The sequence below is a fragment of the Homo sapiens genome, chromosome 12 (assembly GCF_000001405.40).
Source record: "Homo sapiens chromosome 12, GRCh38.p14 Primary Assembly".
Lineage (NCBI taxonomy): Eukaryota > Metazoa > Chordata > Mammalia > Primates > Hominidae > Homo > Homo sapiens.
In genome coordinates, this window is record NC_000012.12 from 81,975,771 (window position 1) to 81,993,894 (window position 18,124).

The 18,124-nt window shown below is 34.6% G+C and overlaps 1 long non-coding RNA gene across 1 annotated transcript in view; it reads left to right on the forward strand.

The window, feature by feature from the left end:
* The window catches only part of LINC02426 (long intergenic non-protein coding RNA 2426), a 39,415-nt gene extending 22,052 nt beyond the window's left edge, over nucleotides 1-17,363 (forward strand). Inside the window, exon 3 of the long non-coding RNA NR_110089.1 lies at nucleotides 16,662-17,363. This is a non-coding gene — a long non-coding RNA (long intergenic non-protein coding RNA 2426). The remainder of the gene's footprint in view (nucleotides 1-16,661) is intronic.
* Nucleotides 17,364-18,124: the final 761 nt, after the last annotated feature.

Here is an 18,124-nt window from a genome sequence, read left to right on the forward strand (position 1 = left end):
TTAAGCTGAAGGAAGATTTTGTGGTAAGGGGCGATAATATGGGGTTGTTAGAAGAAACATTTGTCATTTAGAATTATTGGTGATGGCCTGGATACGGTTTTGTATGAATTGAAAAACTAAATGGAATAAGAGAAGGAGAAAAACAGGTATTAAAGGTCTAAGAATTGGGAAGACCCAGGACATCTAATTAGAGAGTGCCTAAGGAGATTCAGCATAGTCCTGCCAGCAAGGATGATTTATTTACTTTAAGAGTTAAGAGTGGCAGTTTGGGGATAGCACCAGGAGATATCAGCTGTGATGGCTTGGAGAAACAGTGTAAACCGGCAGTGTAAACAAGAGCAGACTCTTGGTATTCAGTGAAACCTTTATATCCCTTAGGGTCCTCAGTCTTCAGGAAAGGTAGAATGGACTAATGGTCTTTTAAAAACTCACCTTACCAAGCTCAGCCACCAACTTAAAAAGGACTGGACAATACTTCTACCACTTTCCCTTCTCAGAATTCAGGCCTTTCCTCAGAATGCTACAGGGTACAGCCCATTTGAGCTTCTGTATGGATGCTCCTTTTTATTAGGCCCCAGTCTCATTCCAGACACCAGACCAACTTGGACTGTACCCCAAAAAACTTGTCATCCCTACTATCTTCTGTCTAGTCATACTCCTATTCACCGTTCTCAACTACTAATAGATTTCATTTTTAAAGAATCATTTTAGATTTACAGAGAAATTAGACAGCACAGGAACTTCCCACGTAAGTTCTGCCCCCACATCTTCCCTGTCTACAGTCTCCCTTATTATGAACATCTTATGTTAGTATGGCCCATGTGGTATAATTAATAGACCTAAACTGACACCTTATTATTAACTAAAGTCCATAGGTTATTCAGGTTTTCTTAGATTTCCCATTCCAGGATTCTATACAGGTTACCACAACAGATTTAATTGTCACATCTCCTTAGGCTCCTGTTGGCTGTGACAGTTTCTCAGACATTCCTTATTTTTGATGACCTTGATAAGTTCAGGGAGTTTTGGTTAGATGCATTGTAAGATGCTCTTCTATCGGAATTTGTCTGGCATTTTTCTTGGGATTTTACTGGTATTGTGGGTTTTAGCGGGGAATACCACAGTGATAACATACCATTTTTAATTACATCATAACAAGAAAATATGCTATCAACATGATTTATGGCTATTCATCTTAACCTTGATCTTGTGGCTGAGACTGCACTTGTTAGATGCTTCCACTGTAAGTTACTCTTTTCCTCCTTTTCTCATACCTTAGTCTTTGGTATTAAACCTCCCATGTGCAGCCTATACATAATGAGTAGGGAGTTGTTGTCCCCCCTTAAGACTGAAGTTTCTACATAATTAATTTGCAATTCTTTGCCATGGAAGATTTGTCTTCTCTTCCTCACTTATGAATTTATTAATCATTATTTTTTGTCAATATGAACTCATTTATTTTATACTGTGAGTTACAATCTAATAATACTTTATTTTGCTTCTCAAATTTCTGCAGTTTGGGCTGGATCTTATGTAATATAAACAAAAATCTTTATTTGCTTAATAATTTTGTTATTTAATTTATTCTTGAATTTATTATGTAAGGAATAAGGATTTTAAAAATATTTATTTTGAACTTAATATCAAGGAACTCAAAAGTAAATAAAATGTAGGAAAAAACTTATTGATAAGTCAGTTAAAGACCAATAACAAATGTTACAGCAGTAAAAACACTTATTATAGCCTCAATCATTCTGGAACTCACTTTTAAAATCCTTTAAAGTTATGGCATTATAAATTGATGTTTAAGGTGTCCTAATATTGATATCAAGAATTTATGTCCTTCATTTGATCCTGACTACTACTTTGCAAAAGACAGTATCATCTTATTTAGATTTAGATCATTTGGTAGCCTTAAGAAATTATCTGACAATACCAACAAATACAAAAGCAAATATCATTGATAAATTGATTTGAGATGTGAAGAAACATTTTCTTACATCTATTTTACATAAATCATTGCTATAGGCACACTGCATTTTAAAAAAACAAGGTGATAGTGTAACTTAAACAAGTTCAAAAGCTAGTAAAAACAATAAAATATATCCCACAAAACAATCATATAGACAAAATATAGGTGCCAAAGGGAGATGTGACCAAAATACTTTGAGAAAAAAAGAGACGAATATGAAGGGTCAAAAATGAGGAAGAAAGAGTGTTGGAATTTAAGAGTATTGACTCCTAATTCTATTCCCACTACCTTCTCCTATTAAGCATAATTTGACGTCAAGACCATCCAGTTATTTAAGAAGCAGGCTGCTACAATTATGTTGATTGCAGGGCAACCAGGTAAATGAACTTTCATGTTTTTCAATTCATGGTCCTTACAGTCAGCCAGTATAAGAAAAGTGCATTCTCTACATACTTAATCCAATTAGAGCCTAATCATATATCTTGTGTGCAATGTTTCTAAAGAGATACAACAACAAATTCTCCTCTGCTCCAGACACAATGTATATGTGACACATCACAGCACTGCAAACTCAGGGACTCCAGATGGTGTTACCACAACATTTGAAGACTGAATTACCAAAGTATGTAAACCAAAATAGACCACTAATAGGAGCAACATATACAATCAGTCAAAGTGCACAAAACAACATAAGGAATCACTACTCAAAAAGGGAAAACATTTAACAAATGTCAGAGATGAGAAAGTATATGGGATAAGTGTAAATACCATCCATTACACTGATAACTCCAACATCTAAGTCTCCAGTCCCAATCTTTTACACAAATCTACACCCTTACAGGACAACTCTACTTGGCTGCCAGCGAGGCATTTCAAATTTAACATGTTCCAGACAGCATTCTTGATTACCCATGGAATCTCCTGACCCTGAATTTTCCATATCAGAAAATGATGGTATCATTCACTAAGCAGGTTTGGTCAGAAAACTAGAAGTAATCCTCCATTCTTCTCTTTTAATTATATCCTAAAACTAGATCTCAATCAATTAGCAAGTTTTATCAACCTCTATTTAAAATATATCACAAATCTTATTTCTGACCACCTCCACCTTTACTACCCCATTGCAGCCAATATGATCTCTAAATAGCACTACTATAATCATCTTCTAATGGTTTCCCATGTTTCCACTCATGTTCCACTCTGTAATTGGTTTTAAATGGCATTCTGAGCCATCTGTTCAAAACGTGAGTCAGATCATGACACTTCTCTGCTCAAGTCCTGCAATGTCTTTTAATCACACATAAAACAAAAATCGAGATTTTACATTCGTAGCTGGAACAAAACTAAATCACCTATTATTTCCAAGGATTCTTCTGCAAACTAAACTCTGTGTGGTTTGCACAGTTGATCTCACCAAACACTGGATACGTGCGTGCCTTGATCTTGGACTTCCCAGACCCTAGAACCTGAGAAATACTTTTCTGTTGTTTAAGCCTTCCAGTCTATGATAATGTGTTATAACAGTCCAAACTGATTATTGGCCAGCACTTAGTCACACAGCTACATCAACTGCAGAGAAAGCTGGGAATGTAGCCTGTATATACAACCACATGGCCAGCTAGAACCTGTAAGCTTGAATATTAAAGAATGAGGTAATGAAGAGATATTGTTGGGCTTCTAGTATTTGTCATAAGTTCTGTGCCATATCTTCCTACTACTTAGTAAACTATTGTGTTTTTATTCACTTATTTTCAATGTATTCAATATATCAAAAAATTACTTCTTTCTTTGTCACACCCCTCCAATTTACTATTTCCTTAATGGTCAGATTTGATATAGGTATTAGAAAACACTTAGATTAAATTAACTTCTATTATATAATGTAAAGATAATGAATACTACATATTCAAGGACTATGTATTATATTAGGCAATCCTCACATTTCTGTAAGGAACTGCCTGAGACTATGTAATTTATAAGAAAAAAAGTTTAATTGGCTCATGGTTCTGCAGGCTATACAGGAAGCATAGCAGCATCTGCTTTTGCGGAGGCTTCAGGAAGCTTCCAATCATGGCACAAGATGAAAGGAGAGTAGGAACATCACATGGCAAAAGCAGGAGAAAGAGAGAGACGGTGGGGTGGGAGATGCCACACTAATTTAAACCACTAGATCTCATGTGAACTCAGAGAGAGACTCACTTATCACCAAGAGCATGGTTCAAGCCATTCCTGAGGGATGTGCCCCCAAGATTCAAACACCTTTCACCAAGCCCCACCTCCAACAGTGGAGGTTGCATTTCACCATGAGATTTGGGTGGGGATAAATATCCAAATTATATCACATATTATATTACATTTTAAAGAACATTTTCATTTAAAATTCTATTTAATTGGAGCATACTGAAGATTCTAACACCAAATATGGAAGAAATAGAAAGATACAAATTAACCATAAAGGAATTTAGTTTGATTTTCCAAATCCATGCTTCCCATTATCATGATCAGGAATTTTACTTCTATGAATGGGCAAAGAATCTGTATGTCATGACTTTTTTATTTCTCTGTCTTTCACAATCTGGGACTGAATGTTATTTTGGAATAAACCATTCTGTCTTGGAAACCATTATCTATACTTTGTGAGTAATAAACATGAAGGCAAGGAACATAGTAATTGCTATATAAAAATCATTTCATAAAAAGTATTTACAGTCAATTGATCTTTGATAAAAGAACACCCAATGGGGAAAGGATAATACTTTCAATTAATTGATCTGGAAAAACTAGATATCCCCTCATATGTTTAGGCTTTGTGTCCCAACCCAAATCTCATACTGAATTATAATACCCATAATCCCCACATGTCAAGGGAGAGATCAGGTGGAGGTAATTGGATCATTGGGGTGGTTTCCCCCATGCTGTTCTCATAATAGTGAGTAAGTTCTCATGACATCTGATGGTTTTATGTGTTTGGTAGATTCTCCTTCATTCATTCTCCTTCCTGTCACCTTGTGAAGAGGGTGCCTTGCTTCCCCTTTGCTTTCTGCCATGATTGTAAGTTTCCTGAGGCCTCCCCAGGCATACTGAACTGTGAGTCAATTAAACCTCTTTCCCTTAAAATTACCTAGCTTCAGGAAGTTTTTTAATAGCAGTGTAAGAATAAACTAATACATCCACATAAAGAAGAATAAAATTGAAACCTTATCTCACCCTACCTACACAACTTAACATGGATTAAAGACTTAAATATTAAGACCTGAAATTGTAAAAATGCTAGGAAAAAAAAAAACAGAGGAAAGCTTCTTGACCTTGATCTGGGCAATAATTTTTTCAGCTATGACCTCAAGAGAATAGGCAATGAAACAAAAATAGACAAATGGCATTACATCAAACTACAAAGCTTCTGCACCACAAATAAAACAATTAACAGAGCAAAAAGACAACACATGAGTGGGAAAAAATATATGCAAACCATACATCTGATAAGGGGGTGATTTCCAAAATATGTAAAGAACTCAAACAACTTAATAGCAATAAAGCAAATTAAACTTGACTTTTTTTAAATGGGCAACACACCTAAACACACATTTCTCAAAACAAGATACACAATTGGCCAGCAGGTGTAGGAAAAAATGCCCAACATTACTAATCATCAGGAAAATGCAAATAAAAACCACAGTGAGATATCACTTCACACCTTTTAGAATGAATGCTATAAAAAGGCAAGAGATAAGAAGGATAGAGAGAAAAGGGAACCCTTGTACACTGTTGATGAAGTGTAAATTAGTACAGCCATTATGGAAAACAGTACGAAGTTTCCTCAACTAGCCATAGAACTACCAGATGATCCAGCAATTCCACTTCTGGATATATACATTTAAAGGATATGATATCAGTATTTCAAAGAGCTATCTACACTTCCATGTTCATTGCAGCATTGTTCACAACAGACAATATAATGGAATTGGCCTAAGTGTTCACTGATAGATGAAGAGATAAAATGTGGCATATATAAACAATGGAATACTAATCAGATTTGAAAAATAAGGAAATCCTGTAATTTGTGACACAGGGATGGACCGGAAGGACATTATGCTAAGTGAAATAAGCTAGGTACAGGAAGATAAATATTTAATGATCTCACTTCTGTGTGAAATCTAAAAAACTTGAACCATTAGAAGCAGGGAGTATAATGGTGGTTGTCAGGAGCTAGGGTTTGAAGGGAAATAGGGAGATGTTGATCAAAGAATACAAAGTTTCATTGAGGTATGATGAATAAATTATGGAGATCTATCATACATCTACAAAAGCCCCACATTATATTTAATGTTAAGAAACTCAAAGCTTTCCCACTAAGATTAGGAACAAGAAAAGGATATTTCCTATCCTTGCTTTTCAACATCGTACTGTAAGCACTACATGCTTCCACTGCTTTTCAACATTGTACTCTAAGTTCTAGCCAAAATAATAAGACAAGAAAAGGAAATAAATGTATACAGATTGGGAAGGAAAAAAATAAAACAGTTTTTATTCACAGATGATATAATTGTCCATGTAGAAAATCCAAAAGCTTAAATAAAAAAAAACCTTCGGGAACTAAAAATTAATTATAGCATGTTTGCAGAATACAAAAAGATTAATCACTTTCCTATACAGAGTCAGCCTTCTGCATCTGCTAGTTCCACATCTATGGGTTTAACCAATTATAGACAAAAATACTTGAAGAAAATGGATTGTTGTGTCTGTACTGAACATGTACAGATTTTTTTCCTTGTCACTATTCTCTAAAAAATATAACAACTGTTTACACAGCATTTTCGTTGTATTAGGTATTATAAGTAATCTTGAGAGTATTTAAAGTATATGAGAAGATATGCACAGGTTATATGCAAATAGTACAGCATTTTATATGAGACTTAAATATTCAAGGATTTTGGTATCCATAAGGAATTCTGTAACCAATCCCCCACCAATACTGATGGCTGTATTAGCAATAACATGTGAAATTTGAAATTAAAAACACAAACCATTTAATTAACACCCCTCAAAATGCAAGAGTTAGATGTAAATCTAACAAAATATGTACAAGATCTATATGAAGATAATCACAAAACACTAATGAAAAAAGTCAAAGAACTAAATAGAGAGATATTACATATTCATGGACTTAAAGATTAGATACTGTAAAGCTGCCTGGTTTTTCCTTGATTTATAGATTCAATGCAATCCTAATCAAATTCCCAGGAAGTTATTTTGTGGCTACCAATGAACTGATTCTAAAGCTTATATGGAGAGACACAAGACCCAGAATAGCCACACAATATTGAAGGAGAAGAACAAAGTTAGAGGACTGACATTACCTGACGTTAAGCCTTATTATAAAACCACAGTAATCAAGATAGTGTGATATTGGTGAAATTATAGACAAATAGATTAACAAAGCACAATAGAGAGCCCAGAAATAGACTTATGCAAATAGTCAACTGATCTTTCACAAAAGAGCAAATGCATCACGATGGAGAAAATATAACCTTTTCAATAAACAACTGAATATACATACACAAAAAATGAATCTATACACAAAACAATTAACTCAAATGGATCACAGAACTAAATGTAAAATCCAAAAACTCCTAGAAGAGATCATTGGAGAAAATCTAAATGACCACGTGTTTGGTGATAAACTTTTAGATACAACGCTGAAGTTATAAACCATAAAAGAAAAAAGGTGATAAGCAGCACTTCATTAGTAGTAGCAAGACACTTTTGAGAGAATGAAAAGATAAGCCACGGATAGGAAGAACGTATTTGCAAAAGACATATCTGATAAAGGACTGTTATCTAACATATATGAAGAATTCTTGAAACCTAAAAATAAGAAAACAGACAACCAGGTTAAAAAATGGTCCAAAGCCCTTAACAGAAACTTCACTAAAGAACATATGCAGACGGAAGATAAGCATATGAAAAGATGCTCCACATCATATATAATCAGAAAATGCAAATTAGAACAACAATGAAATACCACAATATACCTTTTAAAATGGCAGAAATCCAGAACACTGACAATACCAAATGCTGGTGAGGATGTGGAGCAATCATAACTCTTATTTATTTCTGGTGGGAAAGAAAAATGGTTCCAAAATAAACTTTGGAAGATGGTTTGGTTGTTTCTCTACAAAACTAAACATACTTTTACCAAACCATCCAGCAATCACCCTTTTGTATTTACCCAAAACAGCTGAAAACTTATTTACATAAAATCTACACACAACTATTTATAGCTGCTTTATTCATAGTTGCCAAAACCTGGAAGCAAATAAAATGTCCTTCAGTAGGTAAATGGATAAACAAAATGTTACATCTAGACAATGGTATATTTTTAGTGCTAAAAAGAAGTAAAATACCAAGCCATGAAAAGACATGGCATAAATTTAAGTGCCTATTACTAAGTGAAAGAAGCCAATATGAAAAGACTACATACTGTCTGAATCTGCGTAGATGATATTCATATATATATATACATATATATATTATACTTTAAGTTCTAGGGTACATATGCACAATGTGCATGTTTGTTACATATGTACACATGTGCCATGTTGGTGTGCTGCACCCATTAACTCGTCATTTACATTAGGTATATCTCCTAATGCTATCCCTCCCCCCTCCCCCCACCCCACAACAGGCCCCAGTGTGTGATGTTCCCCTTCCTGTGTCCAAGTGTTCTCATTGTTAAATTTGCACCTATGAATGAGAACATGCAGTGTTTGGTTTTTTGTCCTTGCAATAGTTTGCTGAGAATGATGGTTTGCAGCTTCATCCATGTCCCTGCAAAGGACATGAACTCATCATTTTTTATGGCTGCATAGTATTTCATGGTGTATATGTGCCACATTTTCTTAATCCGGTCTATCATTGATGGACATCTGGGCTGGTTGCAAGTCTTTGCTATTGTGAATAGTGCCGCAATAAACATACGTGTGCATGTGTCTTTATAGCAGCATGATTTGTAATCCTTTGGGTATATACCCAGTAATGGGATGGCTGGGTCAAATGGCGTTTCTGGTTCCAGATCCCTGAGGAATCGCCACACTGTCTTCCACAATGGTTGAACTAGTTTACAGTCCACCAACAGTGTAAAAGTGTTCCTATTTTTTCACATCCTCTCCAGCACCTGTTGTCTCCTGACTTTTTAATGATCACCATTCTAACTGGTGTGAGATGGTATCTCATTGTGGTTTTGATTTGCATTTCTCTGATGGCCAGTGATGATGAGCATTTTTTCACGTGTCTGTTAGCTGCATAAATGTCTTCTTTTGAGAAGTGTCTCTTCATATCCTTTGCCCACTTGTTGATGGGGTTGTTTTTTTCTTGTAAATTTGTTTGAGTTCTTTGTAGATTCTGGATTATTAGCCCTTTGTCAGATGAGTAGATTGCAAAAATTTTCTCCAATTCTGTAGGTTGCCTGTTCACTCTGATGGTAGTTTCTTTTGCTGTGTAGAAGCTCTTTAGTTTAATTAGATCCCATTTGTCAATTTTGGCTTTTGTTGCCATTGCTTTTGCTGTTTTAAACATGAAGTCCTTGCCCATGCCTATGTCCTGAATGGTATTGCCTAGATTTTCTTCTAGGGTTTTTATGGTTTTAGGTCTAACATTTAAGTCTTTAATCCATCTTGAATTAATTTTTGTTTAAGGTGTAAGGAAGGGATCCAGTTTCAGCTTTCTACATATGGCTAGCCAGTTTTCCCAGCACCATTTGTTAAATAGGGAATCCTTTCCCCATTTTTTGTTTTTGTCAGGTTTGTCAAAGATCAGATAGCTGTAGATGTGTGGTATTATTTCTGAGGGCTCTGTTCTGTTCCATTGGTCTATATCTCTGTTTTGATATCAGTACCATGCTGTTTTAGTTACTGTAGCCTTGTAGTATAATTGAAGTCAGGTAGCGTGATGCCTCCAGCTTTGTTCTTTTGGCTTAAGATTGACTTGTCTGCCCAGATGACATTCTATAGAAGTCAAACTATGGAGACACTAAAAAGAACATTGGTTACCAGGAGTTAGTGGGAAGGGAGGGATACATAGAGCAGAGAGGGTTTTCAGGGCAGTGAAACTACTCTGTATCATAATAATGAATACATATCAACATAAATTGATCCACAGCCATAAAATATATAGCACCAAGAGCGAACTCTAGAGTAGACTATACACCTTGTGTAATAATGACATGTCAACGTAAGTTCACCAGTTGTAATAAGTGTACCACTCTGATGGGTGATCTTAATAATAGGTGAGGCTATGTATGTGTCAGGGCAGATGGGGATATGGAACATTGTTGTACCTTCTGCTTAATACTCCTGTGAACCTAAAACCACTGTAAAAAACAAAGTCTATTTTCGTAAAAAGTTATGAACTCACAAAAGGTGGATGAATATAAAAACAATTATGCAGCTTAAGAAGCCAGACCACCCCCTGCCATAGTGTTAATATCTTCTTGTTTACTGATTCAATTTGTTTCAACTTCTAGAAGACATAAAATAATCTCTAATGGGAGAAATAAGATCAGTATTTGCTTATTGATGAAGAAAGACGATGGAGGAGCAGATGAGACAGATTATAAAGAAGCACAGAGAAATAATTAGAGTTGATAGATGTGTTCATTATCCTGATTGTGGTGATAATTCTTTAGCGATATACATATGTCAACACATTAAATTTTACACTTTAAATATGTGAAAGACATATTGTGTTTTAATAATATCTGAAAAAGATGTTTTAATACATTTTTAAAAGCAGACTCAATAGTATCATTGGATTTTAATATGAAAGAAAAAAGGTGAAAGTTACCATCATGGAACAGTTCATAATATCATGGAGACTTATGAACATGTCTTGAATATGAATGCCGTCTGTCATTTGTGTGTTAGAGGGAAACAACTGTTTCAGACTATGCTGGAAGTTGGGACAATACACAGGATAAGACATGGTTCCTTTACTTCAAATTCTCATAGGAATTGCAGACAACAAATTCTCATAGGAATTGCGGACAACAGAACTCATCATTCTCCATCTCAAATTGTGAATTTCTAAAGGAACACAGTATTCTAGACTCATAAACTATTAGAGATGGAAGCAACTTAAGTTCACATAGTCATACCTAGCTATGTTCAGAAGACAGAATTTTCTAGACAAGCCACAGTAAACTCACAAGAGTGCACAGAAATATATTGGCATGGTTGGAACTAAAACTCACCTCTCTGGCTCCCAGCCCAGGATTGTCTCCATTACATCAGTGCATCATTTCCCTTTTACTAAACACTACACCCTAAGCATAGTCAATGGTCCATATATTTGCTTACCAACTGATGATCCTAATTGACAAAATGTACCAAAGGAGGCCCTCCAAATTATATTCTGTTCAAAAGGTTAAGGGGCAAATAGTTCACAAAGATAAGAAATACTGGGAAATCCTGGATTTTCTTTTTAATTCCTTTTTTCTGTTTGGGATTAGACATATTTACATATAAATGTTCTAAAATGAACAAACAAACAATGAAGAGCTATTTCTCTACATACAATAAGAAAAATTAATTTGCACTGTGGTGGGAAAAAATCCAGAATGGATTGCTAAAATGTCAATTTATGAATTAAGACTATTAGTAGAGATTAAATCAGCCTGATGAACAATCAGTGGGAGACTTTTGAGAAGCTCTATGCTATTTATAGTAACGGCTCTGAAGTTTTGCTCTTCATTTATATTAGGTAACAAAATTACTACTGCAACAGAAGCACTTTATAGGATCTATGGCACTTGGCAGCAAAAGAGAATTGATTCCAAGCCAAGGAAATGACAGCACAGTATAGCTGGTGCTGACTTGAAGGAAGGAAAAAAAAAGAAGAATGGATAATAATAGATGCATATGGGCAGTGAAGAAAAGTGCAATCAGCTCAGATTAATTACAAGTTCAGTACATGTGCAAGGGACAAATTTTGAAGGTGACCGAGATAAAAAGGGATGGGCATTTAAGCTGGCTGTAGGGAATGGATAAATTTATACAAAAAAAGAAAGAAAGAAAAAGAAAAGCCTCTAAATTCACATCAGCAAGGACAAAAGACCTGTCATAAGAGACATGTCATGAATAGTTCTATAAGCAGGAAGAACTAATCAAAGTAATCACAGGCCCTGGCACATGGAGAAACATTTAATCTGTCCAAGGGAACTACCTTTAGTTCTTGTTATATGTGATGTTCATTTTTCATAGGTCATTTTGGAAAAGGTATCATAGTGAACAGTATACTGATGACTTATTGAGAAAAAAATGCTTAAAAATGTTAATAATAATGTAAACTACAAACCTTAGTTTCTAATAGAACTATACTCTCATATTCCAAGGTCATACATTAACTAAATTCACCCTTCTAGATCATAGTCCATACTTATTAGTATGAAGAAAACAAAACCAACCAACCTCTTTGGCCAAAATCAACAGCACAAAATACAGGAACTTTGATTATATGAGAGATCTTCATTCAGAGCACGACTATTATTTTAGATGATTTTATTAAGATCGTGTTCTCTAAGGCAGATACGTAGCAGCAAGTTCTACAGGGGGAAGATCTGCTAAATATAGTTTAAGAGCAGAAAAATGTGTATAAAACCATATAAGCTGAGAAACAGTCACAAAAATTATAAATATAGACAAAAAACCTTAGCAGAGGCCAATTAATGTAGAAGAGAAACATACAATTCCACACCTCAATCGATCATGATGCCATCACATGCTATTATTATATAAGATGATTTATGTTCAGAGTGATGACTCAAAGTCATTGAATGAATAAAAAATCATTTTCTGTGTACTCCACAGCAAAGCCAGGAAAGTGAAAAGTACATTATAGAAAAGCCTCCATGCAAGATTATTAAACTGAAAAAATTATTGCCTTGAGTATAGAAGTTATCTGGAAAATTCCCTTATGTGAAGCACCTCATTGGTAATGAGGTATTTTCTACACAGGCCACAGTAAATTCACCAGAGAAAAAAAGAAATATATATTAGTCATATCTCTTTTGCATGGAAGTGAGAAGAAACCCAATTAAAATGATTACATAATTTTTTGACCCATGTACCTGAAAAGTATAGTGGTAGGTTTGTGTTCAAATATGGCTGGACAGAGGTACATACAATTACCAGGAGTCTATTTTTGTTAATCTCTTGACTCAGTTTCTTTAACTTTTTATTTTAAAATACATTTAGAAGTTATAAGAACATTGGGAATTATATTAGTCCATTCTCACACTACTAATAAAAGCATACCCGAGACTGGGTGGTTTATAAAGAAAAAGTGGTTTAATGGACTCACAGTTCCACATGTCTAAGGAGCCCTCACAATCATGTTGGAAGACAAAGGAGGAGCAAGGTCACGTCTTACATGGTGGCAGACAAAAGAGTGTATGCAAGGGAACTCCCATTTATAAAACCATCAAATCTCATGAGATTTATTCACTACTGGGAGAACAGTATGGGGGAAACCCCCCACCCCATGATTCAATTATCTCCAACGGGCCCCACCGTTGACATGTGGGGATTATTACAATTTAAGGTGAGATTTGGGTGGGGACACAGCCAAACTGTATCAGGAATATATTACAAAGAGTTCACACATATTCTTTCCTTAGTTTTCTCTACTGTTAAAAATTTAGATAGCCATAATTTTAAAACCAGGAAATTAACATTGTTACAACACGACTATTAAACTACAGATCTTATTTGAATTTCATCAGGTAGTTTTTTTCCCTGAAAGTCTTTTTTTCTTTTCTAAGATCCAATCAAGGCTGCCACATTGCATTTAATGCTGTGTCTTTTTAGTCTCTTTCTATTTGGGACAATTCCACCGTCTTTTCTTACCTTTCATTATCTTGGTACTTTTTATAAGTACTGGTCCATTATTCTGTAGATGTGCCTGAATTTGTCTTTGTCTGATGTTTCTTTATGATTAGATTGAGGTTTTGCACTTTTGGCATGAATAACAGAATTATTTTTCCCCTATAAGTACATATTATTGGGGGAACACAGTGCCAATATATATTATTCCTGTCGATGTTAACCTTGATTACTTGGTTAAGGTTTCTCTACCAGGTTTTTCCATTGTAAAATTAACATTTTCCCCTTTGCAATTGATAGATAACTAAAGGGAGACACTTTGAGACTATGTTAATATCATTTTTCTCTTCAAACTTTCACTCAATGATTTTAACATCGATTGGTGAATATTGACAGTGTAAACCAAAAAGTATCTGAGATGGGACTCAATCAATTTAGAAGTTTATTTTGCCAAGGTTAAAGACATGCCTGGAAGAAAAGAACATAAAATCACAGAAACTGTCTGTGGTCTGTGACTTTCTCCAAAGATGAATTTGAGAAGTTCAATATTTAAAGGGGGAAAAGTGGGCTGGAGGGGAAGGAGGGAGTGTATGGTAATCCACAAGTGCAATAGAAAGGGAGCAGGCAGGGGAATAATCAATTACATATTCCTCTAGTACTTAGTAAATTGGCACTTTACATAAGATAGGGTGAACATAGAGTAGTTACCTGTGGAGAGATTTAACCTTTAACCTGTAGCTATCTGCTTAGCAACAAAAGGAAAAGCAGTTTTTGTGTGACTCAGTTTTCAGCTTAATTTTTTCCTTTAGACATAGTGAATTGTTTCCCATGTTTTTATTTTCCTTTCACAACCGCAACAATTATTCTGTGATGTTTGCCTTGGCAATGTTTCTTCTGCCCTAGATTCATTTTCAGAAAGACATTGCTGAAGAAATAGTGACCAAAAGTAACTCTAGACTTTAGTTCAACCAGCTCAGCAATCCCAATAAAAAGATCACACCTTTTTCCCCAGTTACAATGGTGCTACCAATTGTTTCCTTTGTGGGGGCATGTACTATACAGTGCTAACTCGATTACCATAGCCAAAGGGAAGGCCACTGTCATAGACAAGGCCTGGCTTATGTTACTCTTTCTCAAGTTGGGGGCTGGGATTGTCCCACTGAAACTACACAAAATGAGAATGGAGACAAGACTTCGTAGGTTAAAAAGAAAACAGCAAAAACAGTGACACAAAATTTGACACAGGTCAAATCAACAAATATCCACTGCACTATGATATAAATTATTATTCCTGATGTGGCCTGAGATCTAAGTTTGTGAAAAACAATTATGGAAACCCATTAGTATCCAAAAATATAAGCATTTAACTTTACCTTATTATCACAATGTGAAAGAATGCAAGTTCTTGGTCACCTATTTTAGTGTTTCCCAACCTCTACAGTAGCTATAATTTAAGATTTTCTTCTTCTCTGTCCTTGATAGAAGCAGAAAAAATAGCCATAATTGTTCTTACCATTAAAATAGATCATTAGTAAAATGCATGGCACATAGATAACTGGTCAAAAATGTCATTGTTATTATTATTATAACTATTATTAATATATTAAACTTGATATATATTTATGAAGTGCCTGTTTTATACAAGACAATAATAGATTATAGAAAACTGAAATAAGAAAGGATAGCTGATTATAGAGTACAGTCAATAGTGTGGGAGATAAAATATGTAGAAAACTCTAATACCAGGTAGAATGTAGCAAGTTTCTATAATAGATGCATAAGTACTATGGTTATAATACATGTTTATGTGTTTTAAATATTAAGTACCTCCTTAATCTTTTCTTCTTCAGGCAAAACAAAACAAACAAAACCCAAAGGACCACATTTTCAACTGGCTTTCCTTAAAAGATTAGCTCCCAGACACATTTAACTTAGGATATAAATTGGATGTCACATTAACCAGCAACTGAATAAGCAGAGCAAAGTACACTTGACTTCATTATTTTTAATATTTTAAATACAAAGACTTAAAAATTATAACAAATAATTCAGTCAGTGTTATTTTCCAGATTTAAGACTATAGTCCCTTTATGCAAAATATAAGACCTTCTCTGCATTTTTTCTATACACACAAAAAAATCAGATTATTTGATTTCTTTTTCACAAAAGGCTTTGTAGTTTAGAAATAGCTTTTGAATTAAATGACCAGATTGTTGCTAAGCAACAGTGTAAAACAATTCTTAGATATGGAGACATGTCTAAAGTATAAGCATGTCAGGCCTATGATAATGTCTGGGCATTTTGTGGACTCAGCTCATATTATTTGCAAAAATAAATATTTCTGTATTATCTTTCAAAAATGGTTATGTGTGTGTGAGCTGGTGTATTCACAGAAAGTGGATGGATTGAGGATGAAATAGAAAGCAAAATCTCAACCACCATTGGGTTAATTTTAATTTTTCAGTTCCATTTTGGCCCTGTTCACCTGCCAAGATATAAAATGTTTTTAATTACTTTTGGTTTCTTTGTTGTAACTCCTGAGGCATTTCTAAGACAACTATTCAGATATTCTGGATTAATGACCCTGTTCTGGAAATAAGGTCTTTTACAGATAATATTTCTGCAAAAATATGACAAGAAGCTACCCTCTGACTTGATAATATATATTATAACTTATAAATTATTGTATAATAAATGTAATTTTATTATGAAGGTACAGCAGTACAAATTCAGTAATTTATTATATAAAAAATGTCGGGTTTTGCTAATACCGCAAAAACCAGTAACACAATTGTCACTTCTTTCTTTTTCAGTGCTTTTGGAGGTTATATTTGTCACTTCTTAAACTAAAGGAAAAGACTCACTTTTCTTATAAAGTTGGAAGTAGTAAATCTGTTCCTTTGAAACTAGAGAAATATGTCCCTGCCTATGAAAACGCTGTTCTACTTTTGCAGAGGTAGCTGTATCATAGAGTGAATGTGGCAACTGATATGGCCATCACTGTGAAGAGCTGGGTACACACATCAGCCTCAGGACACCCCCTGCAGTCCTAACTTGGGAACGTAAACCTCAGCTATTGCAAGTAAACCATTTCTGCTTCATTCACATGAGAACATTTCCTTCACAAAAGTCACATGGACAAGACAAAATAAGAACTTACCTAAGGAAAAAAAAATGTCTTTGGGTAACTACTGTGCTAAGCTACTTTCTGCAGAGGTTAGGTACTATAGACATTAGGATCAGGAAAAACCAAGAAACAAACAATTGTGACTAAATTTTTCTCTAGGAGACACGGAAAGGAATTTGTTCAGCTCTTGAGAGATAAATGTATGGAGACAAATACAGAACAGCAAGAAAGTCAGAAGAACCAGAGAGACGGTGTGCAACAGGAGGCTTTTAAGAAGCATCCAACAGCAACTGTCTCCTTTCTAGTTATTTCTATTACTTCAGCCTTACCTCCTCCAACTTCAGCACCTCATTATAATATCCTTCCCAATCAATCTTCTATGGAACTACTTTAGTTATGAGTGTTTTCTTGTAGGATATTTCCCTGTAAGTCTTGTGAATGGTGGTAAGTTGGGTGGGGTGAAACACAGCATGTACAGAAACCTGAGCTCAAGGATAGAGAAACCATAACCACAGAAGCCCCAGTAAATTCATGCAACACTTGGAAAAAAGGCTTATGTTTCCACATATCATGGAATTGGAGGTTTGAACCTATCTCAAGTGACTTCAGAGGAGCAGGAGACTTCTACCCAGAGAATATCTAGCATATTGATATAAAGTTTGAATATGCCTTATCTGAAATGCTTGGGACCAGAAGTGTTTCAGATTTTAGATTTTTTTGGTGAATTTTAAATATTTGTATATACATAATGAGATAGCTTGGAGATGGTAGCCAAATCGAAACATAACATTTATTTTTTATATATATCTCATACACATAGCATGAAGTAATTTTATGAGATATTTTAAATAAGTTTATGCATGAAGCAAAATTTTGACCAGGAATATGACATGAGGTCTTCATGGAATTTTTCACTTATGGCATCATGTCAGCACCAAAAAAGTTTTGGATTTTGGAGTGTTTCAGATTTTGAATTTCCAGATTAGGAATGTTCAACCTGTAATATAAAGAAGTTTGATGTTTTGGGTTATTTTATCCACAGTATTTGTTGAACTGCCATTTTAGATAAATATGTAGAACAAATATAAGTTGTCACATATTATGGAGACATAAAACACAGGCAATAATATATTTGCTGCAGGAATGCCT